We start from the raw sequence: 22,336 nt of genomic DNA, 5'->3' as shown, positions 1-22,336 counted from the left end.
TGAAGAAAAACAGAGTACTATCTGAGATCTTATTTGTTGTTGTTTTTGGTGCGTTGTTGTTTTTGCCCTTTCACCAGGAGACAGAACTAGAACCAATGAGTAGAAGTTACAAGGAAGTAGACTTAAATTCCATAAAATAAGCAGCTTTCCAACCATGAGAGCCATTGCTGAGTATCACCTGCTCTAGAAGGTATTTTATCATTTGGAAGGAAATTAAACAGAAGACTTGCAGGTTGCCTTTTGACTCTTAATTCTATGATTTGATGGCAGAAGGCAACCCTAAAGCAGATATTCTTGAACTGCTAACTCCTCATGACATTTTTTAAGGAAAATGAAGTCTCACCATTTTAAAGAAAATCAGAGAGGCACAGTATGAGAAAGAATTCATTCAATTATGCAACCCAGACATACTGAGACTCTTGTCTGTTTTGATCGAGGCAAATGTGTCTCCGTCCCTGTGAACCACACAGAACATCAGGATCTAGTTGTAGACAATGAATCTGGTAGAGTCAGACAACATATAAATATAAATGAAAGCTAAGACATTTCAAAACTGCAAGGTGGGGGTGAAATTTTAATCAAAGTAGACCCTGATGTATTTCTGTGCTCTTCTTCATTGTCCATGGTCCACCGTGCTTGTTAAATCTGAGTGCTGACAAGACCACGGTCTTGGGATAAACAGCCCTGAATTCCATCTCTGAGCTCCCCAAGGGTATCACAAAGCACAACCCCTTCTCTCTCTCTCAAGAGTTTATGATGGGCCTGATAGAATGACTATGGATTGAGAGAATTCATTTCCGAAGCAGGAAGTGAGACCAAGAGGAAGTTCAACAAAGCTGATGCATGTTGTGGTAACTAAATCCTCGTCTGCATTTAATCAAGGGGCACTGGTGAGTCACAACTGGGAGAGCAGGGCTCCCCATGCCAGTAATTAGCAGCAGAAGGCCACATCAAATGCCGCTCCGGTGCTCGACCTCCTACTCTCTATTGTTCCACAGACATTCTTAGACAGAGTGGAAGATGCAACATAGACAGTGTGTGCTTTTAAGTCCTTGTTTTCAAGCTACATGGCTTTTACAGAAATGTGTGCCTCAAAGCCACAAAGACAGCGAGTACAATAATATTTACCAAAAGCTCAGGGACCTTGCCAGATTTGGACCTGAGACATTGATGGCTGTCTGGAGCCTCCCACTCCAGCAGCTCTGTGTTTAGACCCACGGGAGATGATGTGCTTCTCTCTTGTCCATGCTGGCATCTTGCCTGGCTGAAGGGGCATCTCCCCTCGTGTGAGTTATCTCTCTCCCCAAGATCTCAAGGGGACTCCAAGGCAACTTTGCCTAGAGCTTTACACTTTGAAAGTCTGCCCCTGGAAAATGTTATCTTGCCGTGGCACATGGGCCTCTGTGGGAAGTGTTATTCTCTAAGGAAAGCAAATCATTCTTATTCATCATAGAATGCTGCCTAAAATACAAACTATAACGTGCAGTGTAGGAAGATTACTGTACATGAAGTTATAGAGTAAAAGTAAAAGTTAACATTCCAAAACTACAAACAGAAAACTGTATCTAGATTTACTTTCCTAAAGGAATATAAATGGAATAGAGGCTAGAAAAACTGTGATGTTAATTTTCAGGCCATTTCCTTATTCTATGAATTAAAATCTATAAGTAACATCAATTTATACTGAACAAGTTTGGAGATTCAGAATAACATGATTTTGCAAATAGCTCATTATCATGTTCTTACTCAAACTGAAGCTACATGCCACTTTTGAATTCAGTCACAAATTTAACATTATTTTTTTCATTACTTCATTTGGGATTTGAAATTTGAATCACTAAAACATTAAAATATATTTTAAATGTAAATACCACGTCATATTTTCTTTAATTTTCCATATTCATTTGGTATCTAAGTGGTTTCCTATAATCAGAAGAAGCCATCATTGTTGGCTTTGTTAAATTGTTTATTTTATTCTCTATTTCCTAATATTAATAGTCAATACATAACATCCATTAAATGTTCATCCCAGAGAGCAAGATATGAGGGTCTGGGCTGAGGGAGGTTTTTCTCTTTTCCGCTTGTAACAAAATGCATCCCTTTGTGATCAATAGAAAAGTGTCTGCAACAATTCTAAAAGTCAATTATCTATTGAAATCAAATGTGAGGTTAATGGTTTCTTAAAATGTTTACTGACAGTTCACCGAGAACCCACCAGCTTAATGAGCAGCTTTTGTTCACAATTTAAGGCAGCTGTCCTGTTCTGCTCAGGGGACATTCGGTCCTAGAAGAGAAGTGTTAATGTAGATCACAAGTAAAGGACGCCATAGACCTTTCTGCATCACTTGTTCTTTTAACAGAAGGGATCTGTGGGTAAAGAAAGTTGTTCTGAACAAGTTTCTAATCAATATTAGAAAGACGACAACTTTTGGAAGACAGTGTGGTGATTCCTCAAGGATCTAGAACTAGAAATACCATTTGACCCAGTGATTCCATTACTGGATATATACCCAAAGGATTATAAATCATGCTACTATAAAGACACATGCACACACATGTTTATTGCGGCACTATTCACAATAGCAAAGACTTGGAACCAACCCAAATGTCCATCAATGATAGACTGGATTAAGAAAATGTGGCACATAAACACCATGGAATTCTATGCAGCCGTAAAAAAGTACGAGTTCATGTCCTTGGCAGGGACATGGATGAAGCTGGAAACCATCATTCTAAGCAAACTATCACAAGGACAGAAAACCAAACACTGCGTGTTCTCATTCGTAGGTGGGAGTTGAACAATGAGAACACATGGATGCAGGGCAGGGAACATCACACACCGGGGCCTATCAGGGGGTGGGGGACTGGGGGAGGGATAGCATTAGGAGAAATACCTAATGCAAATGACGAGTTGCTGGGTGCAGCAAACCAACATGGCACATGTATACCTATGTAACAAACTTGCACGTTGTGCACCTGTACCCTAGAACTTAAAGTATAATTAAAAAAAAGAAAGAAAGATAGCAACTTTTCTACTCTATGAACTTTTCCTAAGCTCCTTTACATTTAGGTGTTTGCACAGCTATTTGTTTTTCCTAGTTACATTATTTCTTATGGGGATCAACATGTTGGCTTGGGGAAAGCAACCTGATCATGTAATTGCATCCAGAACAAAGACTCCTAGGACCCACTAGGCTGGCATGAGTTTACAGCATCCTATTTACACTACCTATAGGAAGACCACCTAACTTCAAAGCAAAATAGAGAATGTTTTTCTTTAGGTATGTTTTTCAAAACAAGACTTGGTGTATCCACAGAAATTAGAGATAGAGAGGGAATATGAAAAAGTTTCCTTTGCTTGTTCCAATTTTTTCTTTACTTTTAGTTCCTTTTTTTCATTGCAGGCTTAAATAACACACACAATGGGAAATGGTCCTGCTCTCCCACGAAACTATAAACACTCTGCAAACACTAGAACAAAATGGAAAGGAAAGAAAAGAATATAAAAGGAAAGGGTTTTAGGTTAAGGCATTGACTCTGCTGTCTTAGAAAAAATCGTTTCCTTTCCACAAACTTCTGTTCTTATCCATCATGCTTTCGGTGGCCTTTCCTGTTCTTCATAACATGCAAGTGAAGAATCACTGGGTGACAGTGAGCACCATTAACCTAATGACTTGGAGGGCTTTGCCCTGGGCCATGATTTACATTCTTATGTTCTCAAGACTTAATTTGGTTTAGCCATGACTTAATTTCTTTAGGGGATTGAGCCCAGGGGCCTCTAATAATTTCCATGTCTATAGTACCATGTTGTTGGTAAATCACACTCAGGAATAATCGACAGAGCCACACTCTACTTAGTTTATTAATAAAACTTTACTAAATACCACTGGCAATTTTATTCCGTAACCACTCCTTATAACGGGTGCTTCCTATACTTAATACTCAGATTCAGCATTGCAATATAAAATAAATAAATAGCTAAGAACAGTTTGACCATCTCATTTTTGTGTTGGGGGCACAGCCTAAGAATCAAACTTCCCATTTGTAAACATTTCCACTTGGAAGTATCCCCTAGAAGAGTTTGTTGTATGCCACTAACATACCGACAGTAATAATGCATGGGTTTCATTCTCTATTACACTGTTTAAGTTAAACTTTTCTTTGTATCATCAGTGCTTTCGCCTGAGACTAAATGATTCCCAATCTGCATTCCCTTAGACGATGCACAGATCATTTGAGAATGGCTTTCCCACTCTGACAAGCTTGCAATTTTATTTAAACAAATTCTTTTCCCCAGATTCCCTACAGAACAGCTATTGTACCCTTTTGTTGATTGTAGTGGACATACTGCAGATCTCCAATTACCTCCCCATGGACCACCCACCACAAGAAGGTTTTGTCTTGCCAGCACAGAAGCACTGGCAGCCTCTTGCCTCCTGGAGACTGGAGCGAGGCCTTTGTCTCAGCCCTGTCTCCAAGTTTAACAGACTCCACTGGCCCCGCATCTGTGCTTGTCCTGACATAGAACAACCTAATCAATTATGCCAAACCACTTTGGAGTAAATACATTGTCTAACAGAATAATAATTAGGTGGTAAAAAGAAAACATGATAATGTTCTTTTGGATAGGAGGTTGACAGCTTCCAGACAAATGTAAGAGATTTGTGATGTGAAAATGTAGCAATGGGGCAAGAGATTTGCTATCGAAAAGAAACAACTAAGTACAATGGGACAAATGGGCGCCAAGTATTCTCACGAATCTCTGAACATTTACAGTCAAAATCTTCCATTTTCCACTTCTTTTTTTAGTCTTCTGAAGTAGATAATTTCGTTAGTAAAATTCCTTATTAATGATACAGCATTTGAAAGAGCTATTTGTATTATGAAATCTGATGTAACTTACATCAAGATAAATCACTGGTCGAAAATTAACGCATTGTTTTGCATAAGCAACGTAGGTTGTGATTCTTTGAATTCTTTTCCCAGGGAACTTTGGTTTACAAGTGTGATCTCTGGAATGAGGTATTACCTTGTATTCTAATTTTTTTCTTGATGCTTTTCCAACATAAATAATAATCGTTCTTTAAATTTCAATAATCAAATGCTACTTCAATTGGTATACAAACTATTTTGAAAATATACCCCTAAAGTTATAGTCACCACTTACCATAAACTTATAACTCAAATTTTGAAAACTAAACACTCTCTAAAATTATGTGAGTTAATACAATAGCAGAATAAACACTAGAAGAATTAAATCTACTCTCTTTTAAGTCTTTCCTCACTAACCTAAGACTAAATTGATACATAGACTGCAACAAAAATATTAATGGCTTTATAAAAATGAAGAGCAGAGAATCATAACTAAAGATAACATAAAATGTTTTGGACAACTTCAACCATTCCTACTTGTCTTCATCACTTCAAGACCCAGTTTTATTGCTTAATAATTGGATAATTTTGAATTACATACCATAATTAAGGTGGCAAATATTAGATTATTAAATTCACACTCTAAGTTACTTATGCATTATAACTAGTCATTACTGTCATGCTCAATAGTAACAAAATGATACTCTAATAACCTTCTATCTACTTCCTTGATTCGAGAAGTTCACACCCAACACACACACACACACAGAACACACATACATACCATACACACACATCACACACAAAATGTCATCACATTCCACAATCAGGACTGCATTTCATATTAATGAGGTGTTTTTTTGTTTTTGTTTTTTTGTGTGTGTTGCAGAGTTTGGAGACGTTTATTGTAGGACAATTAAAAAGCAGGAGTTTTGTAGTTTGGAAGAAACTGGTGGGGCAATAGTGTGCATGCACAAACACATACACATCCAGTTCTACTGTCTGGTTCTGTGTTTTTAATCACCTCTTGGGGAACCATTTAAAATACCTTCTTACCCATGCTTTATGTACAACTGAAGTATAACAAACATGGAAATGTACATAAATCATAACTCTACAGATGAGTGAAATATCACAAAGTAAACACATCTTGCAGCCAGCAGCCAGGCAAAGAATAGAACATACTCAGAAATTCTCCTTAAGCCTCCTCACTCAATATTTTCCCCAACAGTAACCACTATCCTGAGTTGTAACACCATAAATTACTTTTGCCTATTTTACGAACTTTACTTAAATGGAATAATTCATTATGTATACTTTTCTCTGGTCTCTTTTGCTCAGTAGGACACTTGGGGGATGCAACATGTTGTTGCATATAACAGTAAGTCTTCTTTTGGAATGCTCTGTAGTGCTCCATTGCATTAGTATACGGTAATTTTTTAATCTGTTCTAATTTTGAGTTGTTTTCATTTTGAGCTAATCAGAATATTGCTGCTGTGAGATATTATATAAATGTCTTTTTGGTGAAGATACACAGGATATATATGTAGGAGTAGAATTGCTGAATTGTATGGCATTTATATTCACTTTTAGTAGATATTGCCAACTTTTTTCCAAAGTGCATATGCCAATTTATACTTCTCTTTTCAATTCATGAGAGTTCCCATTGCTCCATATCCTCACCAGCATTGGTATTAACGAATTTCGCATTTTAGCCATTCTGACGTTTTGTGTTAGAATCACATTGAGTTTTGAATTTCTATTTCCTGTAAAGCTAATAAAATTGAGATTTTAAAAATACATTTATCAGCAAGTAAAATTGCCTCTTCAGGTGTTTTGCCTATTGTGCTATTGGGTTGAATGTCTTTTTCCTGTTGACTTGTAGGAATTTTTGTTCTATTCAGAATATGAATCCTTTATTGAGTATAAGCATTTCAAATATATTTTCCCTCTTTACAGCTTGAATTTTCATTCTTTTAATAGTGTCTTTGAAAAAAATTAATTTTAAAGTTGTCCAATGTCTCATTTATTCAGTTCAGGATTAAATTCTTTTGTGTCCTGTTTGCCAAATTCTTGCTAACCAGGCATCATGGAGATACAATTTTACCTTTTTAAAAATCTATTATATTTAGATCTAGTATTTGGAAATAGTTTTTGTACTTGGTATAAGAGTCAAAATTCATCTTTTTTCCTATGCGATGACTAATTGACTCAGCATTAATTTTGTAAAGATGATTCCTTCCCTAATACATACTACAGTTTCACTTTTATCATAAACCTCGTGACTTGGCATGCATGGGTCTGTGTCAGGGACTTTTTTTTTTTTTAATTTTTATTTTTTGAGATGGAGTTTTGCTCTGTCACCCAGGCTGGAGTACAGTAGTGTGATCTCAGCTCACTGCAACCTCCGCCTCCCGAGTTCAAGTGATTCTTCTGCCTCAGCCTCCCAAGTAGCTGGGACTATAGGTACGTGCCACCATTCTTGGCTAATTTTTGTAGTTTTAGTAGAGACAGGCTTTCACCATGTTGGCCAGGCTGGTCTCGAACTCCTGACCTCAGGTGATCCACCCACCTCGGCCTCCCAAAGTGTGGATTACAGGCGTGAGGCACCATGCCTGGCCAGGGACTTCTATTCTGTTTCATTGCCTATTTGTATGTCCCTCAACCAATGCAACAGTTTTCATTATTGCAACAATTTAACATGACTTCATATTTGTCAGTCTTCTAGCTTTATATTTTTTATTCAAGATTGTCTTGGTTATTCTTAATCCTTTTCATTTATTTGTACATTTAGAATGAGCATTTTAACTTATACTTATTGTGCTATTGGGTTAAATGTCTTTTTCACAAATATTGAAAGCCTTGCATTGCATTGAAAGCCTTTCTACATCAATGTAGAAATATAATATGATGTAGAAATTTTTTCAATAATGTTTTGAAATGATTCCTGTGAAAGTTCTGCACTTATTTATTCTTTTTAGCTTAAATATTTGACATTTTCCATATTATTGTAAGTTATATTTCTAAAGTTTCACTTTCTATTATTTATGCTGGTATATAGAAATGTTACTGTTTTTTCTACATTCACCTTTTATTATCTGATCTTGCTAAATTCACTTATCAATTTTGCCAGTACATTTGTAGATTCAAAGTATACAATCATGTCATTTTTACTTCCTTTCCTTTCTTTCATTTTTCCTTATTATACTCACTACGACCTCTAGTAAAATATGAATAGTAGTAATGGTGAATATCCTTGTCATATTCCTGAACTCTAGGGAAACATTTTGCTATTTCACTATTAAGCGTTATTCTCCATGCGGGTTTATTGTTGATACATCCTTCAGATGAGAAAGGGTTTTTTCTATCTCTAGTTTCCCAAAGTTATTACCATGAATGGGTGTTAAACTTAATCATTTATTCTCGATCTATTTTAATGATCATATGAATTTTCTTTTTTCTGTTGATGTGATAAATTATAATAATATTCAAATATTAAGCCAAACTTGACTTCCTGGAAAGAAAAAGGAAGCCTAAATTGGTCATGATGTATTGTAATTGTTATGTATCTTTGCATTTGATTTTCTATCATCTTGTTTAAGATTTTTGTACATAGGATCATGAGAGAGATTAGCCTGTGATTTTTCTTTATTATAATGCCCTTTTTGGTTTTCATATCGAGGTTATGCTGGCCTCATAAAATGTTTTGAGAAGGAACACTTTTGAATGTTTTGAGAATTAGCTGTTGAAGCAGTCTGAGCTTGGATTCTGCTTTGTGGGAAGGTCTTTAATCAAATTTTTAATCCTTTAATTGATCCACATTCTCTCTTTTTTGTTACTTTTGGAAGTTTACTTCTTATCTAGGAATTTTCCATTTTCTTCTAAATTTGTCAAACTATTAATATTAAAATTGTTCATGTTATGTTTGGTTTGAAATGTTTTCATTTTGTGGAAATTTATCCTTTGACGCACAGGTTATTTAAAATTTATTGCTTTTTTTCCAAACTGCTGGGCATTTTGTAAATACTTTTGGTTACTGATTTCTAGTGTGCCTCCACCATGATCAGAAAATATATCCTGAATGGTTTTTGTCCTTTGAAATGCACCAAAGCTGGCAATATCACACTGCCAGAATGTAATCATTCTGGGTGAAAGCCATATAATCTTGAAAACTTGATTTTTTAAAAATGTATTTTACTTGGATCAGTTTGTTAATCATGTTGTTGAGATCTTCTGCATTAGCTATTGGTGAAATTGTTTGAAAGTCTCCCACTACCATTGTGATTTTTCTCTATTTTTTTATTCTGTCAATATTTGCCCTATATATTTTGAAATATTATTGGATGCATACAGATTTAGACTTGTTATGTCCTCCTGATAAATTGTTGTTTTTATCAATAGGAATTCTACTTTCTCTCCAGGAAAGCTTCTTGTCTTAATATCTAATTCATCTACTGTTAGGACAGCTACACCAGCTTACATTTGGTTGATGTTCAAATATTTTTAAAAATCTTAATATTACACAAACACTTTGCCATTTAAGTCCTATTAGAAGGAATGATTGTTGAAAATGTCCTTAACTCTGATATATTTAAAATATGTTTGATGAAATGCAAGGTCTCATGTATAAATACCAGGCTAAGTACCTAGCCAATAGTACATCATAGTGTCAAGTGCTGTAACAAAACCAAAAACGTAATGCGGGAAGACACTGGAGAGAACTGAAAAGAGAATTTGAATAAATATATTTTCCTGGGGGGGAAAAAAGCTAAAAAAGAGAGAGATGTAAAAAGTTCATGTGAGTAGAGAAGATGATCACAGCTAGAAAAACGAATGTGTACTGGATCACGGGGGCCGACATCGTGTAGGCTGGAAATTGACTAGGCGTTTGTTTAATGTGTATTAAAACACAGTCTAATTATATTTCTTCCTTCTCATAGTCAACACCACCACAGACAGCACTACAATGAACCTGCACACTCATCCCTTTATGAACCTGCTTCACAATTTGGCATATACACTTTGGTATACAGTATATTTAAATTTGATTTGACTACTACTGAATGCTATGCAAAAGGACATTGGCACTGAATACGGTGTTGTTACCCTCACATCCCTTCTACCACTAGCATTATCCTGCTTTCTGATTGTTGACGTCCTAACAGGTTTAAAGTAATCTCACTGTTTTAACATGCATATGTCTAATGGCAGAAGAATTTGTGTATATCTTTATGCACTTTCTTGGTTTTGTTGTTTCTTCTTCTCCCTGTTCCTATATTTTTCCTATTTTCTCATTAAGCCTTTCTTTCTTTTTCTTGTTGGTTTATAGGAATCCTTTATATAATCTAGATATTTGTTCTTTGTTGATTCTAAATATTGAAAAGACTCTTCCTAAATCTCTCATTTTTCTGTTGTCTTTGTACATGGCATGATTTGTGAACTGCAATTCTTACCTTCATGTAATTAAATTCATTAATTTACAAGGAAGATACAAAAATTATAAAATCTATGCCTCAAATAATACATTCCTATGGCAGAAACTAAGGAAGATCAAAGAGAAATCCATTTAAAATAGCATATATAACACACAGCTTTCTGGTTTAGATTAATCCAGTGGAAACAAATAAGGGAGTATATAAAAAACATAGCCCAATCAGCAATTATATCTTATGGATGTATCAAAATTTATGTCCCAATAATATATAATATTTCTTCTTTTTAATTGCATATCAAATATTCATAATTGACTAGATACTATGTCAGAAAGGAAAATCTCAAATTTCATAAAGTATAATTTAAAAAAATTATCTATTCAAAGAAAGCAAAAATTAAAAAAAGAAAAAAGAAAAATAAAAAGTCTTCAACTTAGAAATTTAAATACAAACAGGTTTCTAATAAGTAAATCTTAGAAGAAAAGGGTTAAACAAGCCAAAATTTCAGAATTTTTAGATCTAATGAAAACTACATATAAGAATCTATGGGACCTAAAATATAAGGAGAAAAAGTAGGTGAAAAAGACAAACACACAGCCTACAAAAAATATACACACATTTATAATAAGAGAAATACAAACTATAACTACTATTTCTCACTTTCCAGACAAGCCAAAATTCAAACCCTTGACACTCCATTGGTGAGGACAAGTGAAACAGATATTTACATTTATTACTGATGGCAGTGCTAAATGGTGCAACCCATATGAAGAAGAAATTTGGCAAAACAGTATTCAGATTTCTCCTTTGATTCAGAAATCCCCATTTGACAGACATACCTGCTAGTACATTTCTGAAAACATGAAACATCATATTCACAAGGGTTATTCATTGTCACAGTAAAACATCAGAACCAGCCTAAATGCTCACTAATAGTGAACTGCTTGAATAAGCCAATGAAATATTATGTGGACATGAAATGAATGAGGAAGACCTCTATGAAGTTCACTATTGCGCATTTATGTTGCTCTACGAAGGAAATAGATTGATTTTTTACAACATACTATCAAGATCAAAATTGTGTATATAGTAAGCTACTTTTTTGTGGAACAAAAATAATTATTTTTTCCATTTTTTTAAAAGAAATGCAGAAAGGATAGATGAAAATTTAATAAAAATGTTTGCCTCTAGGTGATGGATGGTAATGGTGTGGAAGGACTGAAGAGGGAAACAAACTTTCTAAGGATACTTTGTAATATATTTTTAGCTTTTGAACCATAGAGGTTTATTTTTCATGTTAAAAATATTAAATAAAAAGAACATAAAAAGCAAATCTTAAAATGGAATATCAACAGAAAATAAATGAACCTATCAGATTGATAAGATAAATACAAGGAAAAATAATTGACTCAGATAACATTTGAACCCGTTATTTTGCATGCAGCTAGTGAGATACGTTATGAGGACAAAAAGAGCTTCAAAGAAAATTGGAATTTTACTTCATTAGATATATTGTTGGTAGTGATACTGATATAATAATTATAAAACTGTTTTGATAAAGTTAAATTCAACACATATTTCTTACTGTAAAAGGGAGATTAAAATAGTAAAACGTAATATGAGAAAGGTGAAGAGAGCCTAGCGATGTTGAATTTGAATTAGAAATATCAGAATGAACTCAAGATTTTTAAAAAACCCTATTTTCTAGTTTTGACCATTGAAATGTAACCAATAATACTCCAGCACCAGTAAGCACACTGGACACTCAGTTCTTGCTTTCAAAATACCATCCTGTGCTTAAGGGACCAGGTCTTTTTGAAGGATGGCTAATTCCAGGAAAAGTACCAGGTGAGACTGAAGAGAGTGCTCAGATTAATGGGGACATGTCAGAAATGGCACAGGAACCAGCTTGAAGTGATTCCCACTGGCCAAATTTGTGACAGCTGAGCAAGATGAGAAACATAACAGATGATAACACACTAAATTACAGATATTTGCATGGTGTATAGCAGTACCAAAAATGAGAAGTGGTAAGAGAGAAAGAGCTTTTCTTTACAAAAGAACACAAGCCAATACATATAGAAGAAAAGCTCAAATTAGGAGAAAAATCATTATTTTGCAACTATCTCATCATAATTGGTTTTGGAAACAATGATCAATGGATACTACCTCCTTTGGGTAAAGCGTTGCTGGGGAATAGGATATTCACACAGTCTCAAATTTTAACATAAAGATTAGTTATTATTTTCAAATGGGAAAGGGCATCTTTACAAGGGGAAGATGTTTGTCGTCACCTGTAGTAGCTGCTAGGGATACTCCACCAGATCACCATGGGGTGTATTGCCCAGATGCTGTGTTTTGATCACTAACAAAGCTCAGTTCCCCATTTCTTCAGAGAATCCCTTCTGCTGAAGGGAGCCACCTTGCCCTTTAGGTTTCCTCTGCCCCAGCCCACCCCATCCATGGCAGCATACATCCAACAACTGGCTACCATGAGGACACAAATGGCCAGCCCCACGGAACCAACAGGAGGAGCTCTGTAACCTTCTTTATCCTCTGGAGCTACACCCTCCCCTCTTTGCCTGCCCACCAGGGATCAGGCCAAGGCAGAAGTTTAGTTGAGACCACACCCTTGCTTGCTTCTTGCTCTCTTCCTCTCCTACTTCACTCACCCCCTTACAGGTTCCTCCCACATCACACCGCAATAAATCCTATACCCTGATCCCTGCTGAGGTTTTAATTCTAGGGAACCCAAACTAAGACATGCCCTTAAGTAAGCAAACTTTGCCTTTGCTAATGTGACAAAATCACATCTTGTACTTTGAAATGTTATGCAATTTTGTTTCCAAAAAATACTTAACCTGAATCTAATTATGAAGAATCAATCAAACAAATCCAAATTGGGCCAGATACTTTAAAAGATTAAGTGGTGCCCAGATTCTTAAAAATAATGACAGTGTATATTTAAAAATAGTGAATAAAATAAATTTTAAAAACTTGGGAATTGTTCTGTATTATAGAAAACTAAGAATTATGACAACAAAATACTGTGTATAATCTTTGGTTGGATACTATATATTTTTTCCAAAAAAAAAACAAGCTTTATAAGAAATTTTAAGAACAGTTAATCATACTGAAAATTGACTTAATATAGATAATTTATATAATTGTGGAATGTCTTGAGGGTGACATAATAGTATTGTGGGTGGTGAGAAAAGTTTTTTCTTAGGAGATACACGTTGAAACTTAGAAGGGAAGTGTCATGATGTCTATGGCTTTTAAAGGTGTTGGAAAATAAGTGTGCTTCTTTTCTGTATATATACATTTATGGAGAGAGAGAAACAGAATTGCAAATCATTAACAACTGCGAAGGGTATAGCATGTATTTACTTTATTATTCTTTCAACTTTTCTATAGAATTGAAAATTCTCGTATAAAAAGTTGAGTGGGGGAAAGCAGGAATAATTTCACCAAAAAAAAATATTGATAGTCTTGAGACTATAATCCAAAGAATAAAATAAATGTACATGCAAAAATACTAGTATAACTACATGATTGAAGTAAAGAATGGACATTCTCTTGAAGTAAATGTGGGAGAAGGGACAACTCACCATTCAGAAGGGACAAATCACTATTAGGGCGCCACAGCAACAATTGCTGCAGGAAATCCACTGATAAATGCTAAAGTTGCTAGGCAAAACTTTGACACCAACAAGACATCTGCACAGCCCCAACATATCTCCAACAAAATATTACTTGCTGTGGTGTTCTTAGCCTAAGGCCATAGATTCCTCAATATGCCTTTCTCCAGGAGATGAATGTTAATTCCCCTCACCTTCAGAAAGGATTGGATTTAGTGTCCCACTTATTAAAAATTGAGTACAGAAAGAGAACCAGAGTAAATTCCTCAGACACTTGCAGACGCTATCTTAACCAAGTGGCCAGGTTCACATCACCAGTGATCATACAGAATGCTATGTGTAATATACCTTATATGATGCAATGAGAGGGCATATCACTGAATGGTATTTTTCCTCAAGATTTATGATACCAGTCTAATCACGAGAAATGCCCATCAGGCAAACCTAAAAGAAGGAAAATGTTACAAAATTGTTGACCAGTACTCTTCAAAAATGTCAAGGTCCTAAAAGCGAAGACTAAGAATAATCATAGCTTGGAGGAGGCTAAGGAGGCATGACAATTAAATGCAATATGGTATCTGGATTGGATTCTGAACAGAAAATAAACTTGCTGAAAAACCGGGACATCCAAATGTTAATTTCTTAGTTTTGGTCATTTTATCATGGTAACGTAAAGTTCAAAATTTGGGGAAGCTGAGTAAAAGGAATATAGAAACTCTGTACTCTTTGCAACTCTTCTGAAAGTCTAAAATTATTTTTAAAGTCTTTAATTTTTAGGAAAATTTTAGTATAAAATATGAAGAAAATCATGTGGACTGGGGGCTTTTTAAAAGGGGTGGTCTTTGAGTTCTTTCATGCTTATTGTCCTAGTTGAATTTTCCTGCTGATCATTTTTTCCATCAACTTTGGTATTTTTTACTCTTTCCAGTTGCCATAGTTTCGATGTTTTTCCTCAGAACCTCATGTTGAAATTTGACAGCCGATATTGGAGGTGAGGACTAATGGGAGGTATTTGGCTCATTGAGGTGGATTCCTCATGAATGGCGCCATCCTCTCTGTAACATGTGAGTTCTGCAAGAGTTGCTTGTTAAAAAGAGGCTGGCTCCTCCCTCCTTTTCTCCTGCTTCCTCTCTTGCCATGTGATCTCTGCACACACAGGCTCCCCTTCCCCTTCTGCCTCGAGTGGAAGCAGCCTGAGGCCCTCACCAGATGCAGATGCCAGAGCCCTCCTTTTTGCACAGCCTGCAGAAGAACAGTGAGCCAAATAAACCTATTTTCTTTATAAACTACTTAGCCTCAGGTATTCCTTTATAGCAACACAAATGGACTGAGACAAAAGTTTCTGATTTGTTTTACAATACATTTTATGTTAAATTTATGTTGTGCCTATAACTATGCCCTTTGTCTTTCTTTGAGTATTTGCATTTTTGATTTGTCTTAATTACCATGCTAGTTGTCCATTTCTTTTATTAAACTTTTAAGAGAAAGATTTTGATTTGTCTAATTTCTATTGTATTGTTGTTCATCTGTTCCACTGATTTCTATCTTTGTCTTTATTATTTCCTTTTTCCTGCATTTAAGGGTTTGCTCTTTTCCTGTTTTTCTAACTTCTTGACTAGAAACCTAACTCCTTTGTTTTCAGAACTTGTTGTTTCCTGACAAATATTGTATCAATTATTCATGAGAGACCCTGTAAGTGCAATGATTCTATTGCAGAGTTCAAAACAACCTCTATTTTTGCTTTCCCAAGAAAAGCACTAGTTTTCTTATGCAACTCGAGCTCTTGGCTGGTTTTTGAAGCTATTAGCTAATATGTTTATTCTTGGTCTATCAATTTGCATATTGCAATATCACCAGACAGAGATTTGTTTCTATCTGTTTTTGAGCAGTATTTAGAAGGGAGGAGCAATTAACTGTCTCTGGAGACTTTCTCCATTTCAAACTCTATAGGAGTCATTTTTCTGTCTTTTTCTCAGATCAAACAAGTCTCTATTTTTAATTCTTAGGCAGTTCTGCTCAGCTTGAAACAGTATTTGGTGTTAATATTGAAAAACAGGACATGGGTCCTCTTAGGCCTTTAAAACAGGAGTCCTTCCCATATGCCTGCGACACTGATGAACTGCCAGAGTTCTGTGGAGGAGGAGAAACAAGTTAATAAACTACCCTCATGGCAGGCTCCACTAGTTGTCTTTTATCATAGAGGAAGTATTGAAAGATTGAAGGAAACTGCCTCTTGCACCACCCTGGGCCTGCCATCCTTCCCCAATGCCAATTAAGTATTTCATACATTTTAAATAGAAATGAACTTTTCAGTGAAAAATTTCTACAAAGTGAAGCAAGCAACCTCTGAGGCATTCATAATTTAGAATAAATAAGAGGCATGCAAACCAAATGTGTATTTCTCCAGAACATTGACCACCAGCTAGAATGGAAGTGTCCAGGGGCTCTGTTTTGAATCAAGTGACTCTCAGTGGCTCTTCTTTAACAGCAAAGTGAGAGAATTGAAAGAAAAAAGGGGAGGAAGGAAGGAAGGAAGGAAGAGAGAGAGGAAGGCAGGAAGGCAGAAAGGAAGGAAGGAAGAAAGAGAGAGAGAGAGGGAGGGAGGGAGGAAGGAAGGAAGGAAGAAAGAGGGAGGAAGGAAGGAAGGGAGAGAGGAAGGAAGGAAGGAAGAGAGAGAGGAAGGAAGGGAGGAAGGAAGAAAGGAAGAGAGAGGAAGGAAGGAAGGAAGAGAGAGAGGAAGGAGAGGGAGGAAGGAAGGAAGAGAGAGAGGAAGGAAGGAAGAGAGAGAGGAAGGAAGGAAGGAAGGAAGAAAGGAAGGAAGGAGGGAAGGAAGGAGGGAGAGGAAAGACAGAAAGGAGTATACATGTGAAAATTCATCATGTTGATACAATCTCAATAGAATCTTAATAGTTTTTTTGCTACAGCAGTGGCTACTGGTAAAATCTTTTAGAATACTCTGAACATTTTCTTCTCATTCATTTTTTCTATTACGCCACTCCAAACCTCTCAATATATTAAAATTAATAATTCTTAAGAGACAAACAGACCCATAAGCTTAAATGTTATTAATCTACTTTATGTAAAAATCCATCTTGTAAAATAAAAATGTCCTATTCACAGCCCAAACAACTAAGGTACCTTCCTCATTATCTCCCACAATTCTTGCCATTCAGAATCTTGAAAGTAGCACCAATCTATCATATTTTTTCCTGAGAAAACCGCAACATAACTTGGGATCTGGTCCTTTCTCTCTTTATCCCTTCTCTTCCCATTCCAGCATACTACCCCACTGTAACATTTTATGAATACATGTAGAAGAGAATTTGCTGAGATTATGTAAGATAACAAGACATGTTTCTAAGCCATGCAATGAAGAATAGGCTTCTATAAACAGGCAGAAGGAAGACCTTTAGTTTTTCATAGAGAAAGGTGAAGGAAGCTCTTCTACATCTATGTATGAATGGGATAAAATTGTATAGATTTGTTCATTCATGCAACAAATATTTGTTAAGTCTTTATTATGTGCCAGTTGCTATGGGATAATATGTAACCCCACACTTGTCATGTCCATTGAGTCTAGCAGTTAATCCTCAAATACAGATTTTCTATGTTTCCACAGAAAAATAAGCAAGATGCACTGGCTCAGAGAAAGGCCAAGGATTATCTTAGGAACAACCACGTTATACTCTTACGGTTGTACAATTATCAGTCTTCCCACAATGGTATATTTGAAGCTACTTCAGAGGTGTATAATAACATTAATCACAGTAGATATTTATCATGTGGAAATGCTGTGTCAGATACTGGACAAATGCTTCTTTTTAGTCTTTCAGTTAGCCAGGCTACCACCAGTGAGGTTGATAGCATCATCCTGTTTATAAAGCTCTTGTAACTGAAATTCAGAGAGTGACATTGGCTTGCATGATGTTCACCTGGGTAATAAGGATGAAACTACAATTCATAGCCGAGTCAGATGATGATAGGACCAAATCACTGCACTTGCAGAATTACACATTTTTGTTGCTTTAGCAGCTAGTGGGTCAATTATTTTTCAAGGCTAGTATTCAGACCAATCCCAGTTAATTAAAACAAACCAATAAATGAACCAATCCACAAAAATCTAAGGCATGACTGACAGGGGCTCACCAGGTTCTTGTAGGTGAGACAAAATTTTGCTGCGCTGTATAGCTAACAGGATAATTTCACCCCTACTTAAAAATCCTCTTGAAGGGTTGCACTAGAAGACTTTCCCTCTGTTTCACTTTGCTCATTTGCCCTAACAAAAAATAAATTCCCAACTACACTCTTGGTAGATCTGTGGTCTTTGTGTTTGTGACTTTCTATTCGCGATTTAGGGCCAAGATTGGTCTATAGGAAGCTTCATGGAAAGAGTTACTTGGGAATACACCTTTCAGAGGCGGGGACAAAAAAAGAAGTGTGGCCTCTAATCATGTATTTGTCAGTTTATTAACCATACCTAAAAACAAAATAGTTTTGTAGAAGAGAGTATCGGCAACTTTCTAAGTAATAAATTAACAATCATTTGGAATAATAAAAAATATATAAAGTACTAAGGAACCTCTCATGTAGCCCCATTAGGTTATTGGAGAGGAGTCTTGAGTTCTTCTAAGACAAGGGTTTCATTGTCTCATCTTTGTATTCAAAGTGTCTCTGACTTTGAAAAAAGAAAACATGATAATTTTTAATTTGGATACACATGTATGGTGGATATTTGGAACAAATAAATATTGACTTAAATTTAGTAAGTGGATGTAGAGAAAATAGTAGGAAATATATGTGCCTTGAACCAGATTAACACAGGTCCAAATTCTAACCCAGCTATTAATATATGACCTTGGGTGAGGGACAACCTTTCTGAGTCTCAATTTCTTCCTTTGTAAAATAATGAAGATCATTTTATAATAGAATTTTTTATCTAAGGAATCTCTGATAAAATAGTGATCATCTTTATCAATATGAAGGAAAACTTTAGAGGCTTAAACAAGGGTGTTTCTTTTTTTCAAGGAGACTGCAAAAATTAATAGAAAATCAACTTCCTGGTTATTTTCTAGGTCAACAATTCTTTTGTCAATAATTTTCTTGTAAATGTTCAATTTACACTGATCACTTTCCTAGTCAATGTACAACATATGCTAACAAGTTTACTTTTTAAGATAAAAAGACCAGCAAAATGTATATACCATTGTTATATATGGCTTATTTTATAGGTCTTATAACTTTATAATTTTCTTTTAGCTAGAGAATCACAGGAGAAAAATGCTGACTTGAAATTAGATATTTGGAAATGTTTTATAATTTGAATAATAGCCTGTAAATGAGAGGACACAATATTATTCATCAAATATTAGTAATAGCAAATTTTCCTAAGTATATCTCTGGCTTGAACACTTAGAATTGTCAGACTGTTTTTATGCATAACTATTTTATAAGCAGAACAAAATATTTTTCTATATATGTAATTATTTTTCCAGTGTATAAGACTACACTGATATAATGAGTTCAATTATGACACCAAATCACTTCGTTTTCTTCAGTATGTGGTGCCAAAACTTAAGCACAGAGAGTTACTTGTAATTACACAAACAAAGTTTTTGTGTTATGGAAATATATTATAGATTTTTCTCACCAGAGGCCCTTGATAAAATGGAATAAACAACGGAAAGGTAGTTAGGCAGCCTGGGATGCAGTCTTGATTCAGCCCCTACTAGAATGACACCGTGAAAAGTCACTTTACCACTTTTGGCATTTGATTCTTCTCTCATGACACTGTCATGTTTCTGTGTAACCTCGAAGGCTTTCCTCAGCTCTTATGTAATCCATGATTCATGGCGGGACTCAAATGGTATGAAACAGTTAATTTTTCTTTTTAACCCCTGACTTCAGTATTTCAATCACAAATATCAATTCCTTAACCAGTGTGGTGGTTACATAAGTATTTGTTCTATAATCATTCCCTAAAATGTACAAGCCTACATTTAAATACTAAGTGCTGTACTTTATGTATGTGTGTATGTTATAAATTAATTTCTAAGTGTTTATGAAGTCAAAATGAGTAGTAGAAGAATAAGAGAATAAAAATATGCATTTTTTTTCCTACAGGACAGTGGAAAGCACAAAGATGAAATGTTTTAAATAGCCTGCTTTTTTCTCTGATGTCCCCTCGACAGTCTTGTGATGTCCTTTTGCTGTTTGTCTGCTGTCTTCCCTAAACCTAGTAACAAAGGCATTATTGGGGTGCTATAAACTAAAAACTAATCAGACAGAGGTTTGCAGTGAAGTTCGTCTTCTTGAAAATTATCATCATTACCAATGAATGCTAAGGACAAAATCTTTGCTAATCTAGCTTCTCTGCTTATGAAGATTTATTTTGATGAAAATGTGTTAATTTTTGCCTCCCACCATGCACAAAGACACTCTTTCCAGGTGTTGGAAATGTAATGACCCAAACCCTTCTGTAACCAACCCCCCCTTCGTATGGGACCAATTTAATTATGTCTTTCAATTTTTAATTTAATATATTTTTTCTTTTTTATTTGCTGTATTTGGCTGTGGTCATGAAACTCTTTGGGATCCAACAATAAACAAAATCCAATTACCCCTCCAAAACCACCCCAATTGCTCACGGACTTTGACCACCTCTCTCTTCACCACTACAGGGTTCCCAGCAAATGCAGATTCAGCCTCGGTTATAGACAGAGCACTTCATCTGACTTCATGAGAAGTGCGGGGCCCCTGGGGGAAATGTTGCGTCTAAGAATATTTACGTTTTACAGAAAACAAACAGGACTGGAAGCGGTTGTTTGAGGAATCACATGTAGCATATTTGAGTTCATCCTACCCTTTGGGCAAAGTATAACCAACCCTAAGATTTAGAAGTGGTGAATTTCTCCATGCTTCCTACCATTTTTCTTTCCTCTTTTCCTCTTCCAGCTCCCAGCTCCTTTCCTTAAATAACTTTTTTTTTTTTTGCACTAAACATTAAGCTCATTGATTACAAGGATGGCACAAAGTGACCTAATGATGGGTCAGTCTTAATGAGAAAAGCGGCTGCCTGTGATGTGGCCTGGCTCGGGCCACCCCCCCACTGTGTCCCTGCATGTCAGCCTTAGTCTCCTTTAAGAGACTAGAGCGTGGAAAATCAACAGAGAACCGCCCGGTGCCTCCTCACAGAATGGACCATGTGCATGGCTATTTAGCCCTGTAAAAGAGAGCACATTTGCACAAATGGGAGTGAACATAAGGAGTCCTTCAGAAGAGAATGGGGCCTTGGCAAATTTATAGACTCCCCTGAAAGAACGTGATTACAGATCATTATCCAATTGAGGCAGATTGATGGGCTGGGGTCAAAGTAATATTGCAGATCTCACCAAGGGGACAATGGCTGCTTGTCACAGGGAACGAAAAGAAAGGGAAGGGAAACTACCACACAGAGAGGCAAGGCTTAAGCTTTACCAACTGCTATGAAAGGGCCTGGATGTGTGTGTCGTTACTTTTCCTGAGCACCATGTTTTATTTTATGTTACAAAGGACGTGCCATTGAGATCAAATTGGGCATTCAAACGTAACCCAATAAAGAACATAGAAATGGCCTAAATACAGACTGCAACTCTCACTTTTTTTCTTCCAAAAGGCAATAAAGCAACATACATAGGGAAGAGGATGATCCATATGGAAATGCGTAATTCCGTCTCTCTCAAATAGAACTCAGAAAATACAAATATGCAAAATACAATAGCAGTAGATAGAAGTTCTCAATGCTTACAAATACAACACCCTTTAGCTGATAGCCAGGAGATGAACCGATTTGACTTTGAAACTTGGCAACATCTGGTCAAGCAAAACTGTAGCCCTGAAATTGAATAAAACAGGAATAAATGCATTCCCACTGCTTCCTTTGCATCGATTCCTGAGTGTTTAAAAGTGCTTTGCATTCATGCCTTCTACAAAATGCAATACAAAGGCAAAAGAATAGCCAGCACGCCAATGTGCATTTGCCTTTCATTTTAAGATCGGTTTTTGGTACCTAGAGATTTAGAAGTGTCAGGCAAACATTTATTCAGAGGAGATCTGATTTTTGCCTGTTTTGTTTGGGTCAAGAAAGTATTAGCAAGTAAAAAAGAACTAATTTAGATTCTGAACATATTTTACCCTGAAGAAGCATAGTCAGTTTTCTCACATACAGACTGTTTCTAAACAATAAGATTATTTTGGTTTCTCCAAGTTATAGTTATCTAAAATTTGAGTACATATACATACATACACATATACATACATATATGTATATATATATATGTGTGTGTGTGTGTGTGTGTGTGTGTGTGTGTGTTTTGGAAATATTTTATAGATTTTTCTCACCAGGGGCCCTTGATG

General features: G+C 35.7%; 1 annotated feature.

Moving 5' to 3' along the window:
- Window positions 20,408-22,059: an enhancer, noted in NCBI's record as "VISTA enhancer hs1315". NCBI's record gives its function as "enhancer in: midbrain (mesencephalon)[11/11] | dorsal root ganglion[11/11] | forebrain[9/11] | limb[6/11] | trigeminal V (ganglion, cranial)[9/11] | cranial nerve[9/11]" and the evidence as "EXISTENCE:transgenic organism evidence [ECO:0001131][PMID:17130149]".

Source organism: Homo sapiens, chromosome 6, assembly GCF_000001405.40.
Source record: "Homo sapiens chromosome 6, GRCh38.p14 Primary Assembly".
Taxonomy (NCBI): Eukaryota; Metazoa; Chordata; class Mammalia; order Primates; family Hominidae; genus Homo; species Homo sapiens.
The sequence above is the reverse complement of the archived record's forward strand: the minus strand, read 5'-3'. Positions and strand labels throughout refer to the sequence as shown.